This window comes from Homo sapiens, chromosome 17 (genome assembly GCF_000001405.40).
Source record: "Homo sapiens chromosome 17, GRCh38.p14 Primary Assembly".
NCBI classification, from domain to species: Eukaryota; Metazoa; Chordata; class Mammalia; order Primates; family Hominidae; genus Homo; species Homo sapiens.
This window is the reverse complement of record NC_000017.11, coordinates 11,488,894-11,511,298: the sequence shown is the minus strand read 5'-3', so window position 1 is coordinate 11,511,298 and position 22,405 is coordinate 11,488,894. Positions and strand designations below refer to the sequence as shown.

Genomic DNA, 22,405 nt, shown 5'->3' with positions numbered 1-22,405 from the left:
GCCCCCTCACCCCTTGACAGGCCCCAGTGTGTGATGCTGCCCTCCCTGTGTCCATGTGTTCTCATCGTTCAACTCCCACTTATGAGTGAGAACATGGGGTGTTTGGTTTTCTGTTCCTGTGTTAGTTTGCTGAGAATGATGGCTTCCAGCTTCATCCATGTCCCTGTAAAGGACATGAATTCATTCTTTTTTATGGCTGCATAGCATTCCATGCGAACCAGGCATGTTTCTAAGCCCTGTTCATATGTCATCTCATTTCATAGTCACAAATTTATGAGGTGGGTGCTCTTCCTAGCTCCATTTAACAGAAGAGAACACTGAGCCACAGTGCAGGAAAATAACTTCATCTAATAGAAGATGGCAGAACTGGGGTCTGAACCCAGGCTGACCTCAGGGTTTTAGAGTCTGGATCCTTAGCTACAAACGATGCTGACTCTTCTGCACTAACAAGAACACTAATGCCTACCATTTAGTGAGACATTTTTATGGACCAGGCACTGAGCTCTGTTAATTGTAACATACTGCTCATTACATAGTACTGCTTGCATTTGATTTAGAGACTGATGTTATTTACCCAAATCCAAGACAGCTGGTAAGTGGTGAAACTTGGCTTGAAATTCATTCTCTCAAATGTCTGTGCTGTTTCTACCATGCCACAGACAGGAAAAAAGACTGCCACATTAGGGCATATTGTGAACCTTTGCATAGGAACCAGCTAGAACAAGGATTTTACTCACCTTTCAAACAGATCCCAGGGTTTGTGGCTTAAGCACTACCTAGACAGTCCTGGGGTGTGGATATTTTCTTTAATGTGGGACAACCCCATCACTTGGCAAGGTCCATTGGGTGGCTGTTCCTGCATTTTGCAACTGTGGAAATCCTTGTCCAACTTGGAAAGGCTTTAACTGAAGCAACGATACAGGCTAATGTTCTTCTCCCCCTACCCAGGACCCAGGACCACTCAGGCACTCAGTTTACTTGGCAGACAGGTAAGGACATGGTGGCTCTGCAGTGGAGCACTGTGGGAACACAGACCTTTTCGAGTGGTTAGGCATCAGAGGAGGCTCCCTGAAGAAAGTGACATATAATCTGTGACATCATGAAAATGAGAGGAGTGAGCTTCGGGAAGGGGTCAGTGAGTAATATAGCTGAGGGAAAGGACTCTCCAGCCTGGGACCACCAAGAGGAAGGGACAATACCAAGTTACTGGTATTGTCTCTCAAGAAGCCAGCTCTGTGCAAAGCTGCAGGCAGGAAAGTGTGTGCTTTCTTCTTCCTCGGTTTTCCCTTAGGTGCCTTTAGCTCCTTGCAGGTTTGCCTTCTTACCTCTCCCATCTCAGACCTTGAGTCTGCTTCTTTCTTTATGGACCTGTGTTTCCAAAGCCTCTCTTTCCCAAGATGCAAGTGGTCAATAAGACCATAGATGTTCCTCCTTGCAGGGCAGGGTGCACAAAGCACACTAGACAATAGAGTATTAAGAGGATGAGCATCTCTTTTCATCCTGCCCTCTGCCACCTTAGCTTGCTTTCTCTCTTCTATCCCAGAGTGGGACACTGCCGCCCAACTCACTCCATTTCCTCCGAGGAAAGTCTAGCCTTGTGTTTCTTGCTGTTGCAGAGGTTAATTCATTTGCTCTAGTCTGTCTTATAGGCAACTCAAAAGACCTTCAGTTAGGGCAGGAGTTTTGGAGAGACTGGGAGGCCAAGGTGGTTCGGAGGTCAAGGCTGCAGCTGCCAAAGTATATCTGTGAGTATCCAGTAAACAGCTCTCCACAGTTCATGGAAAGTGTTCGTGCTGGTTACACCACCAAGGAGGGAGGTGACCTCAGGCATTTCCTCCAGCTCTCTGAAGCTCAGTTTCCTTCCTGCATCATACAGTTGTGCTGAGCCTCAAATGAAATAATAGATGTTGAAAGTGCTTCATAAATGGTAAAGCCCTGCGTGCATAGAGGACCATGTGTGATGCTGTCGTTGACTATGCATAGGTACTTTTTGAGTGGATCTCCTCAGACTGTGTTCCCCAAGATTGTTCATGGACTTGCGAATACAATCTAAGGAGGGGGCTCCAATGGTAGCTAAGAAGCAACTTCTGCCCATGCCCAGGGTTGGCCTAAACCATGAGCTGGAGAGTTGGGCCTTCCGACACTTCTTTCACCTGGACTATCCAAGAGACTAAGGCTGTGCAGGCATGAAGTCTGAATTCCTTCTCCCTGATGATTCTGAGAGCCCATCCATGCTTTATGCAGTGAAACCTTCCAGGGAGGATTTTATAATCAGCTGGTGCTATTATGTCACTCAGATACAAGCTCTTGTCACAGGTTTTTCTTCCTCAGGAGGGTTTCTCTGACCCCCTGTCTCAAGTGTGTGCCATGTTCCTCTTTTGTATCCTATTGCTTTGTGGCCCCCATCACAACTTGCATCTGTCTTATTTGTGTGTTTGCTCATTGGTTGCCACTGGTAGATATCTTCTTGGACAGAGGGACCATACTTGTCTTGTTCACTGATTATAGCCCTAATACCTAAAGGAGTGCATGGTACAGAGTCACTAACTTCATAAATATTTGCTAGATGAATAAAAGGAAGCCACAAAATTGTATAGCCAAGGAAGAAGGCAGAGAAGGAGAAAGCCTTCTCACCTCTGTCTGCCATATTGCATGAAGCACCCACCTGTGGGCACCCCCAAGGAGAAATGACCTGGGAGCACTGGCAGGGGAGAGGTGGGAAAGGAAGGGGAGGGGAGGGGAGGGGAGAGGAGGGGAGGGGCTGATTCAACCATGAGTGAATTTGAGGATTTGGCCACTGGTTCCTGAGCTTTAGAGGTCCTCAGGATATGATGGTATGAAGTGGTAGGTCCTTTAAGAGGTGATTAGGCTATGAGGGCTCCTCTTTGGTGAATGGGGCTAGGTGCCTTTATAAAGGGGCTTGACATTGGAGTTGTCCCTTTTTACCCTTCTGTCTTCTGCCATGTGAGGTGTAGCCCTCACCAGACACCAGATGCTGGTGCTTTGATCTTGGACTTCCAAACTCCAGAACAGTGAGAAATAAATCTGTGTTCTGTGTCAGTTACCCAGACTGTGGTATTTTGTTACAGCAGCACGAATGACTAAGACAGTCACACAGCTAGTAGATTTCAAAGCAAGAGTTTGAATCAGACCTTGACTTCCAGTCCAGGGTTTTCTCACTGCATCAAGCTTGCTGCCTCCAAAACCTTGGAGTAGAGAAGAATAAAGCTGCTTTAGCAGAAGGCTTAGAGATGGTCCTTGGTGTGTCTGAAAGTAGTTTCCTCATCGTGGAAATGTAGGCAACTGGCTAGTGGTTAGCACTGGAGTCCTTGGGCTAGCTCACTCCCTTTGACCTCATGTCTCCTGTGTGTGGGAGGGGACATATGTCTTAAGCTCGCCAGTCTCACACTAAATGGAATTTGAACAGATGTTTCAATGAGAAATACACAAAGGATGAGGATGTTATGCAATCGGAGGGAGTGCTAAAGATTAGAAATGAAATAATCTTATTGTTTTAAAGGAGAGAGATACTTTCAAGTTAGTGGCAAGAGACACATTAAAACAATGATGTTGAAGTCAGGGTGTCAGTGAACAGCAGGCAGATTTGCACTACACTCACTTCCTCCAAATGCTCTTCTCAAGTAATAATGTTGGAGAGGTGGGAAGACCTCTTCTGGACTGTAGGAAAGCATCATTTCTCAGAGATCCAGGGAAAGAGGAAAGGGGGGAATACATCTGTTTAATGCAGGGTGGCAAAGTAAGAGAATGGGTTACTTTCCTCAGCGGGTGGGAAACATAAGACATCTCTTATTGCCCAAGGCAATGCAGACTGAGATCTGCCTGGGTGGTTCATGAAGGATGAGAAGGGATGCTCAGAGGCTGGGTGGAGAGGAAAGCTCTGAGCAGAAGGCAGGTAGGGCGGAGGGTGGGGAGGTGCTCTGCTCCATACATCATCGGGGCCAAGAAAGCCTGTGCTTGACGTAGGTGGCAGGTCTTATGTGCTCCTTGTAAGGAAAAGATAGACATTCTGTTCCCCAGCCTGCCTGTCCAATTCACCTTCCTTCAATAATACTGAAAATTTAAAAACCAATATTAATTGAGCAATTTATACTACAAGGCATTTTATACACATTAGTTTATTGGCTCTTTATGAGATACTAATGTGGTGGATGTCATTGTCTTCCTCATTTTGTAGATTAGGAAACTGAGGGTAGGACAGGCCGAGTAACTTTCTGAAGATGCAGTTAGTGGGTGGCAGGGTGAAGACTTAAACCTCCACACTGGACTGTTGAACTACATGGCCTCAACGTGCCTAGACTCTAAGATCATCTCTTCACTAGCAGACAGCCTTGACTATTACACTGTTTCTCCTCTCTACTCATGCCCAGCCTGATTCACACTGGTGTTCCTTCCTGTCAATCTCCCTACATAATAGCCTGGGAGTCAGTTGGGGCGACGGTGCTGTCCTAGGTCCTGAACTTTGTTTTGTAAAACTTGAAGTGTGAGTGGGCATAAAAGGAAGGGTCTGAGTCACGTTTTAAGCTCATTTATAAAAAGCTCACAGCAGTTACATGCTTTATGTGGCATGGAATCACTGCTTTTTCAGGTAGTAACCAGTCCAGAAGCTCCCAGATAAATGTTCCACCCCAACTTTGTACTCCTCTGGGCTAAAAATGGTCCCAGGGGACTAGTTGAGTGCAACTGCTAGACCTCATCATAATAGCGTGGGTCAACACACAGTTTAACTTCCTGGAGCTCAATCCTCTGTCAGTTCTCATATGATTGATTATAACTGATGGGTTTTGTGGGGTTAGGGCAAACAAGGAAAATATTTCTATTTTCCAGTGGAGAAAAAAGACCATGACAAAGGATTTGTCTGATGTTAAATTACTTGTGTGTGATACCCAGGGTCATTCAACCTGGATTGAAAACTCTTTTGCTCTTCTATGTCATCTCCCCAAAGTAATTGCAGACAGTAATTAAGGAAAGAGGAAGGGAGAGAGAAAAAGAGGAAGTAAAGAGAGACAGAAAGAGGCAAAAGAAGAAGAGATGCAGGGAGGCCAGAAAATAAAAGGAAGAAAGGTGCAGATATGTTGGGGTGAGGGAAGAGAATGCTCTGACCATCTCCTCAAGTGTCTGTCACTCAGAGAATGAATTTTCATCAGCTTCATGAATATCAACGTTTCACTTGAGAACATAATCCCGTGGATATGCATTGTTCCCTATCTCCTATTTCAGTGGAAATCTGCATTAGGAGTGGTCAGTTGCTGTATCTTAACTACAAATTAAGAACCAAACTCTCTTCCTAATTCCATCATCCCTCAAGGTCCATGAATACTCCCCCACCCTCTTCTTTCCTCATTCTACTGCTATTCCAATACGCATCGTGGACTGCCTTGTGGTATACAGTATATGCCTTTCTTCTCCATTTCCTCTTGCATTACCTTTGAATGGCAGGGTTTTATCCTATTGTTGTTGATTCTCTGGCTTCCCATAGCACAAAGCACATAGGTTCACAAAGAAGGTACTCAGTTTTGTTTAAATGAATAACCGTTTCTAGTTGAAAATATTTTTAGGATGCATCTGGGACTTAATTTTATAAAAGTGAGATAGCCATGAATGAACCCAGTTACCTTATCTGACTCCTGGTTCAGTCTTTGTTCATTCCACTGCTCTGCAATCCATGCCAAAGCTCTGGGAAGCCCCTTGAGCCTGGAAGTCACTGATCAGGGTCTTCATGAAGGAAAGGACGGGTTCCCAGAACAGTGTTTTCAGTGTATTCTAGACTATGTTTACAGTAGCCAGACTTAAGAGTAGGTAGGCTCTTAAGAAAGAACAGAGAGGCACTGTGGGATTTTCCTGCACTAAAGCATGATTCTGCAGTCCACACAGCTACATCCCACTCCATGTCTATCCCTACAAGGTTAACAGACAGGAAAATTCCCATTTCTGGAACCCATCCATGAACCCAAGAAAGTCCAAGAAGGATGCTGCTGGGAAGAACTTATCCAAATGACTATAGTGTGTGAACCCAGAATCCTGGGAGATAAGCCATACTTCCACCTCCTACTTAGAGGAGAGGTAATAATTATAAACTCCTTTTTGGAAAAGAAAGGAGAGAGACAGCGATCGCTGGACTTTCTAAAAGTACTGGAACTTTTCTCCCAACAAAATAAAAAGACAGTATCTGGACAATATCTGGTCCTGGCCAGGTAGTTCCAGCCTCTGAATAATGAGGCTTTGCTAAAACATTCAAGTCCCAGTTAAAGAAGAGATGTGGAAGTTCAGTCTCAGGAATTCCAGATGGGAACTGGCCAGTGAGGACAAGAACAGCTCCACAGCAGTGTCAGACACATAGTGACTGAACATCTTCATGAAACCCCAGTTGCCTCTTGGGACACAGGTGCTGTGCTTACCTCTTTTATCAGGGTTTTCTGGCCCATGGTAAGGGCTAATGGTATTACATACCTGAGACCTGAAGCTCCTTTTCAGTCCTAACATCTCCAGCTCCTTAGAATAAGTCCCCTTCCCATGAGGAATCTGAGGGAGTGTGTGTCCTTCCCCTTCTCCCATCAGTGTGTTATTCGTGGCATCCCTGCTGAGTTGACCCTGATGTTCCAGCTCACTGTAAGCTACAAGGTCCTTGGATTAAGTTGTAAATAAACTTTCCATTCCTTTTTCTTGCAATACCCCCCACTTCTTTTCTGCCTGGGCCGATGCATGTGATTTGATAGATACTTTCCTACTCTATGCCTTCTATTCTCTGGCCAAGGCTAGGAATGCTGGTTTCACTTCTTAACAATAGGATCATGTCAAAACCTTGAGACAAGTCTCTTCTAAATGAGTTCAGTTCCCTGGGCTCCTACGATCAGGACAGAGAGGGCAGCATGGGAGGGATGCTTCACCTCCTCCTCATGATGAAAGAGCATTTCTCAAGGTGAAATTTTGCAGAGTGCTTTAAAAGTTTAGCAAAGATTGGGGCCATGGAGCTTTCACGGATACTAACAAACAGTCCACTAAGAGCTGTTTGATTTCTGCTCTGCACTTTGAGATTTCACACAGGACACTCTGGATTGCAGTGATTCACCTGCAAAGCCCATGAAGCCAGCCTTCCCTCTTCCTCCTCATATACAAGCACTTTCTTACCTGCCTACCCTCAGCAGAGGGCCAAAGGACTCATGGACCCTTCCAAGGTCATCAAGAAGTCATTTTATATACAACCCACTGCTTTTTGGTAATAACTCATGCATCCATCCCAGATAAGTGAGCATCTCCCCTAGGTTTAAAAATCGCCAGAAGGCATTGTGTTATTTTAGTTCTGCTTTTATTACATTGTGAACATTGGTACAAGGTTAAATACACACAGAGACAGACAGCAGAAGGCTGCAGAGAGCATACACATTAACACACTTGTACATAGAGAAGGAGTACAGAGAGACTGACAGAGCATACAAATACACATACAATACAGACAACAGCCACAGTAGCGCCGGCTACATCTGGTATACATTCCTATATGAAACAGCATAGGATACAGACAGCAGATGTCAATTGATAAACATCATCCATGAAAATCCAGCCATTTGTGTTACATTTGACGACAACAATATACAAAGCCTTATTACATCTCCAAGGGGCAAAAGGTCTAGGGAACCTCCAAGAGCTTTTCAGAACGGTCTCTGAGGCTGGTCTCTGAGGGCAGGAAGAAGCCAGCAATGACCACAAAGATAAAGAGGGGAGGAAACCGACTGTCAGGCTGAGAAGTGGGAACAACCAGCAGGAGTCAGTATGGACAATGGGACAGCATTTTTCAAGAATCTTAGTGACATCAAGACAATCAAAAGTGCTTCTCTGTGGCTGGGCGGGGCTCTGTCCAGACCCTCAGCCCCACCCCCACCTCCACTCTCCAGCCTTGCTGGAAATATCCAGAGATTGCAAATGACCGAAGGGGAGCCTGTTTTTGCTTCGTTTAAGTTATATTTGGTGGCTAAGTTTTCGCAGGCAGATAATAGGCAAAGGACGTCACCTCTGCATGGTAAGAACTGCCTTCAAAGCCTCTGTGCTGTCAGCCATGGGTTCTATTCCTGGCTCTGCAATCAGCTAGCTCAGCGATCTCAGTCAAGTCACTTAACCTCTCTGGGCCTCAGTTTCTTCATCTGTTATATGAGGACTAGATGACCTCTAGATGACCTCTAGAACCCTTGCAGCTCTTACAGAGGGAAATTCAGGTGAGTTTTACTAGCATCTTTTTCTGAAGGAGAAATAAAAGAAAAAGTACATGGTTGATCAAAGGTAATCCAGTTTTCCAACCATCCTTCTACCCCTACCCCACAGTAATCTCCAAAGACCCGACCCTGAAATTAATCAAGGAATTAGACAGCTTGAGACCCAGCTCTGTGCCCAAACCCATCCAAAAAGGCTGCCTACTGTTCTGTTCATGGCAGACTTCTGAGAATCAAGAGTAAACTACTGCATACAAAGGTGAGCATGACATTGCATTTGCTTTGCCAACCCCGGAACCCCACCCAGTGCCTGCCAAACAGGATATTTTTTATTATTTATTTATTTTTTTGAGACGGAGTCTCGCTCTGTCATCCAGGCTGGAGTGCGATGGCACGATCTCAGCTCACTGCAACCTCTGCCTCCTGGGTTCAAGCGATTCTCCTGCCCCAGCCTCCCGAGTAGCTGGGATTACAGGCACACACCACCATGCGTGGCTAATTTTTTTACTTTTAGTAGAGAAGGGGTTTCACCTTGTTGGTCAGGCTGGTCTCAAACTCCTGATCTAAGTGATCCACCTGTCTCGGCCTCCCAAAGTGCTGGGATTACGGCTGTGAGCCACTGCACCTGGCCGATGTTTTTAGTCTTTTTTTTTTTTTTTTTTTTTTTTGAGACGGAGTCTCGCTCTGTCGCCCAGGCTGGAGTCCAGTGGCGCGATCTCAGCTCACTGCAAGCTCCGCCTCCCGGGTTCACGCCATTCTCCTGCCTCAGCCTCCCGAGTAGCTGGGACTACAGGCGCCCGCTACCACGCCCGGCTAATTTTTTGTATTTTTAGTAGAGACGGGGTTTCACCGTGTTAGCCAGGATGGTCTCGATCTCCTGACCTCGTGATCCGCCCGCCTCGGCCTCCCAAAGTGCTGGGATTACAGGCGTGAGCCACCGCGCCCGGCCTGTTTTTAGTCTTAACCCTCTGCAATGGTATATGGCAGTGTGGTTAGACTGAATTTCTGTGGGTATGAGTTTCAAACATTTCAGCCTTTCTCTTTGTTCCTAAAGCCCAGGTAGAGGAACCTCAAATAAACCCAAAGTTGAAAAAGGGAAAAACAAAGGAATTTGTTATCAAGGAATTGTCCCCTTCCTAGCAAAGCATTTGCCAGAGGATACAGTAATACCTCCACCATCTCTGTCCATCTCTCCTGCCCTTTTCTCTCCTTTTCCACTATATTAGGAGAGAGAACAAGAGCTCTCTTGTCCTTGTCTATCTGCAGGCAGGGTACCACTGGCACCCTGGGGAGTGTGTCACCGGAGGCTCTTTTTCTCTAAATATCTCTGGGTGGCAGCACTCATATCTCTCTTTCTCTCTCTGTCTCTCTCTCTCTCTGTCTTCTCTGTTGCCCATGCTCAAGAAGCACCACTTTGTGGCCATCTGAATTCTCATCGCTCCATGTCTTTTCTCATTGCTGGCCTCTAGCACCTATGGAGGCCCAACTGCCTGCCCAGCAGCCTCCCATTCCTAGAAATGGGATTAAGTCATGCCTTGGTCTTTTCTTCTAGTACTAAAAAAACCTCCTTAATTCCTGTAATTGGTTTTAGCCACTTCATAATCTTTGTTGTCTTGAAAATAGCATCTGTTTGCTTGGCTCTCCAGCAGCACTTTGGTCTATATACTTTTAAAAATTTGTTGGACACCTGTAATCCCAGCACTTTGGGAGGCTGAGGCGGGTGGATCACCTGAGGTCAGGAGTTCGTGACCAGCCTGACCAACATGGTGAAACCCCATCTCTACTAAAAATACAAAATTAGCTGGGCGTGGTGGCGGATACCTGTAATCCCAGCTACTCCGGAGGCTGAGGCAGGAGAATTGCTTGAACCTGGGAGGCGGAGGTTGCAGGGAGCTGAGATTGTGCCATTGCACTCCAGCCTCGGCAACAAGAGCAAAACTCCATCTCAAAAAAAAAAAAAATGTGTTGGAAGCATTAGAGATTAATAATTAAGCACCTGGCCTCTGAAGTCAAACAGATCTGAGTTCAAGTCCACTTACAGGCTATGTATTCATGGCAAGTTGCTTAGTTTTGCTGAGCTGCAGTTTCATGTGTAAGAAGGGACTCATGACACCACTTACAGCACTTGTAAAGACTGAATGGGGTCCTACATGCAAAGTGCTTACCACAGTACCTGGCACACTATGCTTTGGGAAAAAACAACCTTTCTGCCTTGCCTTCCAGTTTCCCTGTAGACCCAAGTATAATCCATAATCCATCTATGTCCAATAGCACTTTCTGAGATGATGGGAATTGCAACACACCAGCCACCAACCACAGGTAGCTACTGACTACTCAAAATGTGGCTGATGCAACTCAGAAAATGAATTTTTAATGGGATTTCATTTGAATTAATTTAAATTTAAACAGCCACATGTTCCTAGTGGCTACCGTATTTGTTAGCGGAGATTGCTTTCTCTATGGATGTATCTTGGCCTTTTGAACAAACCAGGAAAACTATGGTTTAAAACGTGGCCTGGACTGGAGGTCCCCACTTGACACTACCATGGAACCTTGAGCAAGTCAGTTCACTCCTGCGCCTCAGTTTCCTCACCTACAAAATTGAGAAGTTGACCAGTATTCCAAGACCTCTTCCATCCAGGGCAGCTTTATATGAGTACACAGGCCATGCACAGCACTTTTGCAGGCAGGTGGCACCATTTACAGAGACTGCAATGGGAAGGGCATCATTGGAGTTGTGCAACCTCATAATCTGGCTTCCATCTCTAAACATTCTGGGGCACCACGACGCTGCTTTTCCAAACTGCCTCTTCTGACACCTCCCGTAAGTGAGAAGGGGCTTCCAGGCCATATCAGAATGCAATCTGTGAGGAGACTGAGGATGGAGAGCAGCAGGGAAGGAGTGCATACATATGGCAGGAGGTCAGATTCCCTTGGCCAGGGTGTGCCCGTCTGAATTCTCTTCACTCCATGTCTTTTCTCATCTCTGGCCTCTGCCTGGGTCCCTGCCCAACTGTCTGCTTTGGTCTCAGGCTCCACAGGCTGATGCTCATAGCCATTATTTAAGAGGGACAAGGCCAGGCACGATGGCTCATACCTGTAATTCCAGCAGTTTGGGAGGCCAAGGCAGGTGGATCACTTGAGGCCAGGAATTTGAGATCAGCCTGGGTAATAAGGTGAAACCCCATCTTTACTAGGAATACAAAAATTAGCTGGGTGTGGTGGCACACACCTGTAATCTTAGCCACTCAGAAGGCTGAGGCAGGAGAATCACTTGAACCTGGAAGGCGGAGGTTGCAGTGAGCTGAGATTGCACCAGTGCATTCCAGCCTGGGCAACAGAGTGAGACTCTGTCTCAAACAACAACAACAACAACAAAAAAAAAAAAAAAAAGAAAGAAAAAGAATAGATTTCAAATTACTTAAAAGAAATAAAAAACAAAAAAGAGGGACTAATGTAAAGCATTGCTCCCCTATTAAAGTTCTGAATGAGTGAGTGTACATGAAGTCTTAGTATCCATTAACACTTTAGCATAAAGTAGCCTATTCTAAAGTGCTAACTAGCTGGGAGTTGTTTTGCTAAGGAAGAGAGATATTTGGAGCCTGTCACTGGCTTGAGATGGGAGACTTAGGTGGGACAGGTGGGGGAAGAAAGCAGAGGTTGTGTGTGTGTTTGTGAGGTTCCATGAAGAGGTGCTTCATAGAGGATAAAACGTCCTGAAAGGGGATAATGGTGCTTTATAGTCCACTCCCCAAGTGGCGTCATTCTGCTCAATGCTAGCCTTGCATGAGGAGGGAAGATGCTTCTTGGACAGCAATGCCACTGCCACCCCGTCATCTCAGTGTCAGATCTTGCCTCTCCCAATTCAGTGAGGCACTGAATTCTGGCCCTGGTGAACTTCCTGCCCCAGGGTAGTTCTAGGGCTTGCATCCTTGCCCTTCTTTTCAGAAGCTAAGCTTCAGTGGGCTGGGTGCTCATCATGCATCCTTAGAAGCCAGTCCACGTGCTGAGGGTGCAGCCCAGCCCAATCTCTGAAGGCTCATAAGGTGCCCTTGTCACAGCAAGGTGGTGTGACTGCAGCTTCCACCTCTGCCTCGCTCTTTCCCTTTTAATAATAATAATGACAATAAAGTAGCAAAAACAAACACTTACTGAGTGAGGACTCTATGCCAGGCACTGTGTGCTAAGCACTTTCTATCCATCACCTCACCAAATCATCAAGCAAATCCTTCGTTGTTATGGGGATACAGGCTCAGAGAAGGATAGTAGGTCCTACAAGTCCACAGCCTTTATTACACGTTTGAGCTGCTAGTCCAGCCCAGGTCTTTCTGGCTCCACAGTCCAAGCCCTTCCCTTCTCCTCCTATCCGCCCCCTTCTTCTCTTCTCTTTACTTCCCTTCTTTTTATTATTATTGTTTATTGATATATAACAGTTGCCCATATTTGAGGGTTACATGTGGTATTTGGATACATGGACATAATGTGTAATGATCAAACCAGGGCAATTGGGATGTCCATCCCCTTAAACATTCAGCCCCTTTTTATGTTGGGAACATTCCAATTCCTCTCCTCCAGTTATTTTGAACTGTACAACAAATTATTAACTATAGTCACCCCACTGTATTATTGAACACTAGTTCATATTCCTTCGATGTAACTCTTTACTTCCCTTCTCTCTTAAAGGACATCTTAGAAGACAGATTCAAGCTCTGTCCTCAGGAAGACAGATACTCATACCAATGATTCTGAGTGTGAGATCAGTAGGATATGGATGTGTCCAAGATGTTTGGGGATGGAGGAGGAGGAAGGACTAGCTCAGGGAAGGTGCAAGATACATCAGGAGTGAACACTCTACAAAGGACTTTCCCTTGAACTGAGTCTTAATCATGGAGACAACATCCCTGTTTATCCTGAGAGCCTCTGCTTCCCCAGTATCTCCCACCTGTGGATTCTATTGAGGTAGGAAGAAAACAGGAAGAGGAAGAGCAATGAGCTTCTAAGCTAGAACTAATTAACATTCCCCCAGTTCCCACTCCTTTCTTCTCTTTCTTCCAAAAACACTGTATTTATTAAGCACTTACTGGGAGCTGGGGGATGAATATATAAAGAAAGAGAACCCAATACCTGCTCTCAAGGTCTCACCTCCAAGCCAGGAGTAGGTATAGCCATGACTTGTACTGTCAATCAGCAAGAGAGGAATGGGCTTTAACAACTCAAATGGAGTGCTCTGCAAGCCTGGGGGGTGAGGAGGTGTCTGAGCCAGTATTGAGGAATGGATGTCGTAGGATGCGAGAGACAGAGAAGGCCAGGAGGAAGCCCTTAGAGGCAGAAGGAATGGAAATAAAGGTGGCTGCTGGAAAGATCTTATGAGGAGTGAGAAGCTTAACCCATGTATGGAGAGCCCAAGGTTGTGGGAAACAAGACTGGTGACAATTTATGGCCAGCTTTGGGGTCAAGGAAAAGATTTTGAACAAATGTTTGCTAGGGTATGATTGATCCCTGAAGTGGCATTTCTCATTGCTGTGTTCAAGAACATTCGTCTAAAGTGTCGAGGAGGGAGGCCTTTCTCATTCTCAACACGGTCTCAGACCCCATGACTGATGCCCTTTAACCACAGCCAGTGTCTTGTGCTTGGATGGTTGTAGTAGTCTATTCAGTGGTCCTCCCGTTTTCAACTGGATCCTGCCACAGCCCCTCTTTCTCCTCACAGCAGTCAGAGTGATTATTTTAACCCATAAATCAGATCACTTCCCTTCCCTCCCCCAGGTTTGATGAAAATCACGGCACTTGAAAATGATAGCGGAGACACCAGAATTTCTAGAAGCAATCTCAGAACACAAGCCAGGCTGGTCCCCCATGATTGCAGGTTCCTCATTCCTCATCCATTTATTTGGCCCATGACACTGTCTTGTCTTCTCCTTTCCCCAGGTCAAGGCTTCAGGGTGTCTCCTAGCAGAGCTGGTCCTCAGGAGAGAATCTACAGGGGCCCAGGACATGGTTCTGGGGGTCCCCCCACTACAGTGTGTAGCTCAGTGTCCAAACTTATGGGAGGCAGCATGCAAACTGAATCTGGTCTGCAAAGGGATTTCTTTGGCTGCCATTGTTTTAAAACTTGGGAAAATCTGTGTGAAATCTGGATTCCTATCTTCTCTTGAAAAATGAAAAAATGTAGTCACATAGGATCTGCATTCCCACATGGAAATGTTTGCAGGAATCTCAATAATTGGCTCCTTTAGCTGGGGCCGTGCTTTCCAGTTTGCCACAGTGCCCACCACTTCTCATTGTTTCCTACCTATCCCACTTCTATCCCATTCTTTTTTTTTTTTTTCTTTTTTTTTGAGATGGAGTCTCGCACTGTCACCTGGGCTAGATTGCAGTGGCGCGATCTTGGCTCACTGCAACCTCCGCCTCCCAGGTTCAAGTGATTCTCCTGCCTCAGCCTCCCGAGTAGCTGGGATTACAGGCGCCTGCCACCAGGCCCAGCTAATTTTTTGTATTTTTAGTAGAGATGGGGTTTCACCATGTTGGCCAGGCTGGTCTCGAACTCCTGACCTCGTGATTCACCCGCCTCAGCCTCCCAAAGTGTTGGGATTACAGGCGTGAGCCACCGTACCCGGCCCCCACTTCTATCCCGTTCTATGCCTAGCCCTTGTAGGCACTGTAAACCCTAAGCTTCACAGTTTCTAACATCTCTTTCAGCCCACCGTGTTATTTTTAGCCTACAGTAAATTTTAATCAAGATGGCAGCACTTGGAGAGTTTGCTTTGAAGTCTCACCTGTGGTGGATGGAAGGGTGTTAAAGAAGTTTTGGGAGGCAGAAAATTGGTTGGAGGAAAACCATGTGAGAGAATGAACACTCTCCTGTGGACCTGGAAATCTCACCAGGTTGGACACCCTTGTTTGACTAATGGGGAGGCCCCACTGGTTCCTAGGAGATTACACCTGGCAAATCTCAAGTGTAGTTGCAAGTAGACTCTGGGTACTAAGACAGCAGGCACCGTATTGTGTCTGGTACAGAGTAGGCCATCATTAATCTGTTGTGTGATGGATGGATGGATGGATGGATGGATGGATGGATGGATGAATGGATAAATAGAAGGATGGGCCAGACAAGAAAGAACTGCTCTGGGAGAGGTCATTTTGGGACTTCTCCAGATGCAGACAGCCTGGATAATTGACGCTTCTTTCCCTCAGCTTCTAACTGTGTGATTTAGAAGTCTGGCCTGCAGCCAAAACAGCACAACTGTTACACATTCCATAGATAAATCAACTCCCTGATGGTTTGAAACTAAGGGGACCTACAGAATGTTAGCCCATAATATATGAGCTAGCACGCCCACTTAGTTCTCAGAGGGATGGCAGGGTGGCCGGCCTGTTTCAGGAACAGCAGGAAGATGCCTTGCATCCTTGCAGTCTGACTGTTTTCATGTCACTGCCAGGCTGGGACATATCTAGGGGATGGACTGGTAGGCAGCCACCCTAAGAGGAACCTTGAAAGAAACCCTGGACACAGGGCTTGTCTTTGCAAAATTCTGCCAGCCAGCATTGCAACAAACAGAAGGAGCACATGTGTGCTCAGAGCACACCTGGGCCAGCCATGCCCCTCTGCATGGGCTGGCCTCCTCTTCCCTCCCTCTCCCCTGGTCACCTGTCCAGTGTCCCCAGTTCTTTTGGCTTCTGTGGACTTGTTTTCATCTGGCCCCCATGCTAGAGAACACAGCCCACAAATGCAGCTTAGTCTATGAACCCCAGGAAAGGTGAGAAGGAAGGAGAGAGGAAAAAACAGAGCAGTGCTAGGTGGAGCAGTCAGCTTGCCCAAAGTCACACAGCAGCTACGTAGTGGAGCCTGGGTCTCTCCAACTCTAGGGCTCAGGCTGTTTGATGAATAGACACCAAAGAGTTGGCAGTGGGCAAGATGCTTTCACCCCGAGGTTTGGGTCTATCCCAGATAGAGCTCTGAGAAATCTACTGGGGCAGGATGATCAGCTTATTCCACCTTGCTCAGGCCTTTCCTGGTTTTTGCCCTGGAAGTCCCATGTCTCAGGAAACCCCACATGACTGGGCGGATGTAGCCTGGTCGGCCATTGTCATCAGGAGGTAGGTCATCCTCAGGCTCGTGGTCCTGTTTGGCTGTACTGTGATGGGCAGTTTGAACAATATTAATGGCTGGCTCCCGACTCCAGACATTTTGATGTAATTGGTCCAGGATTCAACCTGGGAACTGAATTTTAAAAGCTTCCCAGGCGATTCTAATGCACAGCCAACATTGAGAACTGCTCCACCTGAGGAATCGAGCCTGGCACTGTCACCGGGTTAACCCATCACCTGGGTAGCTTTGTCCATGTCCCTCCAACAATTTCCTTCCAAAATAAGCAGAAACTCCTCAGCCTGGCAGCCAAGAGCTTTCCCCTGATGGCTCCAGCCTAATTTTAAAGCCCTATCTTTCCTCAGTTCTGTTATGTTTTCACTCTATTCCAGATAAACTCCCTGTTATTTTGGGGAATTAACCCTAGGAGTTCTAATGCAAGAGGTCCCTAGACTTGGTGCAACTGTTTTCACAATCCCTTTCTGAGGCTCCCTGTTCACTGGAAGTTCTGTGGGTGTGCAGAGGTGCACTGCGGAGGACATTCACTTTTAGCTAATATAATAGCACATTACACCTCTGAGCACCCTAGGTGATAAGTAACAAACAATTCAGAAAACAGAGACCAGGGAATGGAGGGCTAGGTTCGGGCAGCAAGCCACATGTGGGAAGAGGTCTGGGCCAAGGACATTAACAGCAGAGGAGAGCTGGGGCAGATGAGAGTCTTTAAGGCAGGGGATGCTAATGAAATAGGAAGAGAGTGGCAGGGATGAGGGGGCTATCAGGGAAGCTGGGGTGGGGAGGAAAACCCTCTGCTCCTATCCCTGTTTGGCTCTGCCTGAGATAAGTCCCTGAGTCCTGCTGAGCATATGGACTGGGAGCCTGCTGGGAAGACACAGAAGCCCCCTGCTAAGCCACAGTCTCAAATAACAATGTGAATGAGGACTGCCTTATGCTTGCAGAGCCTGACTTAATTGGTATTTCTCCTAATTATCAGATTTAATCACCACCTCTCCAGTGAAATAATTTTTGACTCAAATGAGAGATTAGTATAAAGAAAGAACAAGTCAAAAAAAAAATAGAAGGGAGAACAGAATTTAGTTAGAGTTTTCATTTTAAAATGACTTTGTGCGTGTACAAATTGTACACAAAACATTTCCTTTTCCATTCTATCCATCCGACAGGAGTCAAAATGCCAGGGTTTCCAAGGAGACCCCTACCCTTGTCAGCTCTGTAGAGTTGGAAGAGAAGCCCAGGGGCTCTGAGGTTGCTGAGGCTGGGAATCCCCAAATGGCTCTCGTTCTTTGATGCCTTGTATACGGTACCCCTTGGGCCTGGCAACTCTGCTGAAGGGTCCAGAGGAGACTCACAAAGGTTTTGGTAGATGGTGTGTGTATGTGTGTGTGTGTGTGCGCGCGCACGCGTGTATCCACATGGTACCAAAAAACAAGTAGGAGTTGCATTATTGGCCTGGCACAGTGGCTCATGCCTGTAATCCCAGAGCTTTGGGAGGTCGAGGTGGGCGGATTACTTGACATCAGGAGTTCGAGACCAGCCTGACCAACATAATGAAACCCTGTCTCTACTAAAAATACAAAAATTAGCTGAGCGTGGTGGCATGCACCTGTAATCCCAGCTACTCCAGAGACTGAGGCAGGAGAATTGCTTGAACTCCGTGGTGGATACTGCAGTGAGCTGAGATGGCACCACTGCACTCCAGCCTGGGTGACAGAGCGAGACTCTGTCTCAAACAGAAAAAAAGAAAAGAAAAAAAAAGGAGTTGCATTATTTCCTTTTAGGAGTCCTATTTGGCTAAGTGGTCACAGTTGTCAGGAGGTGGTCCTGCTATATAAATGAGGGAGGTCCTCTGGACTCACAGCAATCATTAGCCAAAACATTAGCCAGAACATTCCTTATCTCCATGGAAAAGTTGGATAAATGTTAGTGTTGAGGCGATCAGGGAATGGTTCCCCACCTGCAAGAAGACACCTAGTGACAAATGGCCAATCTCCAAGTTCCCTTGCTACTGACGCTGAGATTCTGTGATCCAGGCTGGCAGGACAGACAGACTGTGGGACAGGGGAGGGGAAGAGAGGAGCAGAAGCCTGTGAAGAAAGTGTACTGTGTGGGACAGTAAACAAGCAACATGATGAGAGGGAGGAGAAGTGGGGATTGGGGCTTGGGAACCCTAAGACTTCTTGAGCATGAAGAGAGCCTGTGCTAGGGTCTGAGTTCAGGAGTGGTGCATGCAGGGCACTGGGCTTCAGGGAGGAGGTTGCAGTTGCCTTAACCTACCATCAGGATGCCAACACTTGATGCACACAGTAGTGCGTGCAAGGAGGAAGGGGTAGAGAGGAGACATAAGTGTTCACTGAGCCCTCACCATGCACCATGATGTGTAAGACACTTTCATGCATTTACTCCCTACAACAACCTTGAGAAGAATCCATCATCATCCTAATTTTATGATTGACAACATTCATAAAATTGGGGGCTTAGAGAAATTAAATGATTTACACATAGTAAATATTGACTGCTGGTAAAAGGAGAGCTGAGACTTAAACTCAAGTCAGTATGATTTCTAAACCAGCCCATTCTCTACCGAATCACCAAGGCTTGGGTAGCTTGCTGGTCAATGCAATAGTGGTCTTTATGAGTCAGGGTTAGGGTTCATTCAGCTTAAAGCTGTTGTAACTACTGATGCTATTGAGCCTAGATTGAACACTAAGAGGCTGAATATTTTGGAGCCTGTACCCTCAACCCTCTGTGGCCTTTTAGCACTTCATCCTCCTCATCCTTCTTTGACTGGGTGTTCCTGGAAAGCTCAAGAGGAACATAAAGATCCAACAGGAGACTCCTCCCCCACCGCATTCCACCCAAGACTCTGCTCACATCACACTTCACTTTTCAAAAACCTTCACCAGCGGCTGGGCATGGTGGCTCACGCCTGTAATCCCAGCACTTTGGGAGGCCAAGGAGGGTGGATCATGAGGTCAAGAGATCGAGACCATCCTGACCAACATGGAGAAACCCTGTCTCTACTAAAAATACAAAACTTGCTGGGTGTGGTGGTGCATGCCTGTAATCCCAGCTACTCAGGAGGCTGAGGCAGGAGAATTGCTTGAACTCGGGAGGTGGAGGTTGTAGTTAGCAGAGATCGCACCATTGCACTCCAGCCTGGGCGACAGAGGGAGACTCTGTCTCAAAAAAAAAAAAAAAAAAACACTTCACCAGCTTCCCTTTCAGTACACAACACACTGGACCAAATTTTCTAATTTCTGAGTTGGTATTTAAGTCCCTATGCATATGGCCTCAATGGGCTCTTCCAGGCCTTTTGTCCATTACTCCTCCATAGTCCAACCTAAAGGGATACCTCTGGGGCTGCTTTCCTCCTAGTTCCATTTACTTGAAATTCTTTCCACAGATGCTTGGGTGGCTGAGGTGGGAGGATGGCTTGAGGCCAGGAGTTCGAGACCAGCCTGGGTAACAACATAGTGAGACCCCCGTCTCCACAAAAATTAAAAAAGTTAGCTGGCATGGTGACACTCGCTTGTAGTCCCAGCTACTTGGGAAGCTGAGGCAAGAGGATTGCTTGAACCTGTGAGTTGAAGGCTGCAGTGGGCCGTGATTGTCCCTCCCACCGCCCACTGCATTACAGCCTAGGTAACAGAGAGAAACCTTGTCTCTTAAAAAAAAATTCTTTCCCTCTCTAGACCCAACTCTTATTGGCAAAATCCCTGCTCGAGGCCATTATTTCCATGAATGCTTTCCTGGTCCGTTCTGTTGACAATATGACTCCCCTCCAGGTCATTCAGTGAGTTACAGAGCTGGGCCTGCCCTACAGAAACCCCACTTCCCTGGCCCCTAGTCCAGACTTCTTCTAGAGAATCTTGACGTTGGAGATGCCCCTAACCCGACACTGACACTGGGCTGAAGGGGCTCCAAAGGAACTCCGGCTATTGAAGGGTCTCATTTCCTCCTTCTGTGGTCAGGGAGGCTGAGATTGGGCAAGAGCCCTGAATTTGCCTCCTAGATCTGTGCTTGCCCTGTTGGCCCTGGGCATGGCCCAGATAGGGCTTGCTGCATTCCTCACAAAGCCCCTGGAAAGACCCTTTCTCTTCATTGAGTCATCAGTCAGATGGGCAAAAGGTCATTAAACTTCAACATCTCCTATAGATGAGCATTCCTCCCTGGGCCTCTTAGCCCCATACAGGGACTCCTTTCAACACACACCCCTCCCTTTACACACAATCTGGAGGAAACAAGACCAGAAACACCAAGGAAGGCCTCTGGCTCAGGTCTGACCACCACGGCTGGGAGCCAGCCTGCCCTTCCTCCTTCCTGCAGTGAATATGGATCCGAAGTCACCACCGGCTGCACTTCTCCAGAACGTAGTAGCGCATGTGGGCTCAGAGACCGCTGGAGCAGAGTGTGAATAATGGGAACTGCTTCTGACTTAATTAGACTCACATTAAAATCGCACTCCCTGAAGCTTGCAAAGGCATCAGGGAGGCCTCATTCCTCCCTGCTCGGTGACCTGGAATGCTCTTCTCATTCCAAACACCTCCTGTTTCATCGGCAGGAGAATTCTGTCCCCTTTGTCTCCATGTCCCTTCTTGCTCCCTGCTTCTCCTTCATTTTTCCTCTTCTCTTACTCCCTCTCAGTGTCTGCAATTGGACTTTATGTCACCGCCTCCACCGTTGTGATTATTCACCACTCTGCTCTGCTCCTCTCCCCAACTTTTGCCTCCACCTTCTCGGGTACTCTGCAGCCCCACGCTATGCATCTACAAGGTCTCTCTACCCAGGAACTATGAGCGCAGGCCAATGCCTTGGCATCCTCTGGTCATGGGAAGACCTGGAGAGGCTGGCAAGAAGGGATGTCCTTCTCCCCTGACTCTTGTATCCAGGCCTGTATATTTCTGACCTTTCTGACAAAGAGGAAATAATGGTAATGACTGATTTCATTTGCCTGTAGCTGAGGACAGAAAAAAAGGCCATTAGGAGCTATGGATGGAAACCCCTATTCTTTGAATGCTCCTAAGCCAGGATTTCTCAGCCTGGGCAGTACTGACATTTGGGGCTGCATAATTCTTTGCTGTGTGTGTGATGGTGGTTGGGGAAGGGGGGAATTGCTCTGTGCATTGTAGGATGTTTAGCAACATTCTTGACTTTTACCCACTAGTTGCCAGTAAACTGACATCATCCCCAAGTTGGGATGATCAAAAACATCTTCATACATTGCCAAAGGTTCTCTGGGGTGCAAAACTGGCCCCCGGTTGAAAACTGCTGTTTAAGTAAGCTTGGCTTCTCATTTGAGCATCTGTGTGGTTTCAACAGAAACATGCTGGCCTTGGTCTTCAGGTCCTGGATCTGCCACTTCCCTCTGCCTACCCTTCAGCTCTCCTACCCTTATGTTCTCTGAGTTGGGTTTTTTCATTCTGCAAATGGGGCAGTTGCCTACTTCACAGGATTAATGCAAAGGACATATGAGATACAAACTATAAAGCACCACATAATATTACATAAAATATATTTCAGCACTCTAATATAATTACTGGGTGCAAATAAGACTAAAGCTAGACACTCAAGGGAGAGTTAATGTTAAGTGTTGATGGAAAAGGTCATGTCAGATGCTCAGTGGACTAGATTGGGAGATTTGCAAAAAATAGATAAAAGGGAAGAAGGGACCCAGCAGTCAGGATGGCAAAAGGAGAACAACATGAAAGCAGAAGAGAAAGATTTTCATAAAATTGGGGCCCCGAGAAGCACTGTGGCTAAGATGCTGACCATTGGTCTGGGGTGGTCTTCTCCCTAAACAAAGGGAATAATTTGAGGAGTCAAATAAGGGCTCTGTAACCCAGAGTTAAAGAGGAAGGATGGCTAGACTGCGGTGAAGGGGATGACCAGAAAGATTTTGGAGACATCTTGCCTAGCCTAGAAGAGAGAATCTAGACAAGGAGGCTCCAAACTAGGAGTTGACATACCCCCAATTGAGAAAAGACAGCTTCAGAAACAGACTCATCAGGGAGCAGCGTGGACTCCCCAGCATTTCCCCAGCATCTCCCATTTTATCCCCTGGGCATAGTACCCTGATTTT

General features: G+C 46.8%; 1 protein-coding gene across 3 annotated transcripts in view, besides 3 other annotated features; it reads right to left on the bottom strand.

Moving 5' to 3' along the window:
- The window catches only part of SHISA6 (shisa family member 6), a 322,851-nt gene that overhangs the window by 52,765 nt on the left and 247,681 nt on the right, over window positions 1–22,405 (bottom strand). The window lies entirely within an intron of this gene.
- Window positions 4,380–4,580: a silencer, noted in NCBI's record as "peak2723 fragment used in MPRA reporter construct". NCBI's record gives its function as "represses an SCP1 promoter by STARR-seq MPRAs in K562 erythroleukemia cells {active_cell/tissue: K562}" and the evidence as "EXISTENCE:reporter gene assay evidence [ECO:0000049][PMID:32103011]".
- Window positions 7,552–8,053: an enhancer, noted in NCBI's record as "NANOG hESC enhancer chr17:11406563-11407064 (GRCh37/hg19 assembly coordinates)". NCBI's record gives its function as "activates a minimal SCP1, AML or CMV promoter by ChIP-STARR-seq in primed H9 embryonic stem cells {active_cell/tissue: H9 hESC(primed)}" and the evidence as "EXISTENCE:reporter gene assay evidence [ECO:0000049][PMID:30033119]".
- Window positions 16,936–17,473: an enhancer, noted in NCBI's record as "NANOG-H3K4me1 hESC enhancer chr17:11397143-11397680 (GRCh37/hg19 assembly coordinates)". NCBI's record gives its function as "activates a minimal SCP1, AML or CMV promoter by ChIP-STARR-seq in naive H9 embryonic stem cells {active_cell/tissue: H9 hESC(naive)}" and the evidence as "EXISTENCE:reporter gene assay evidence [ECO:0000049][PMID:30033119]".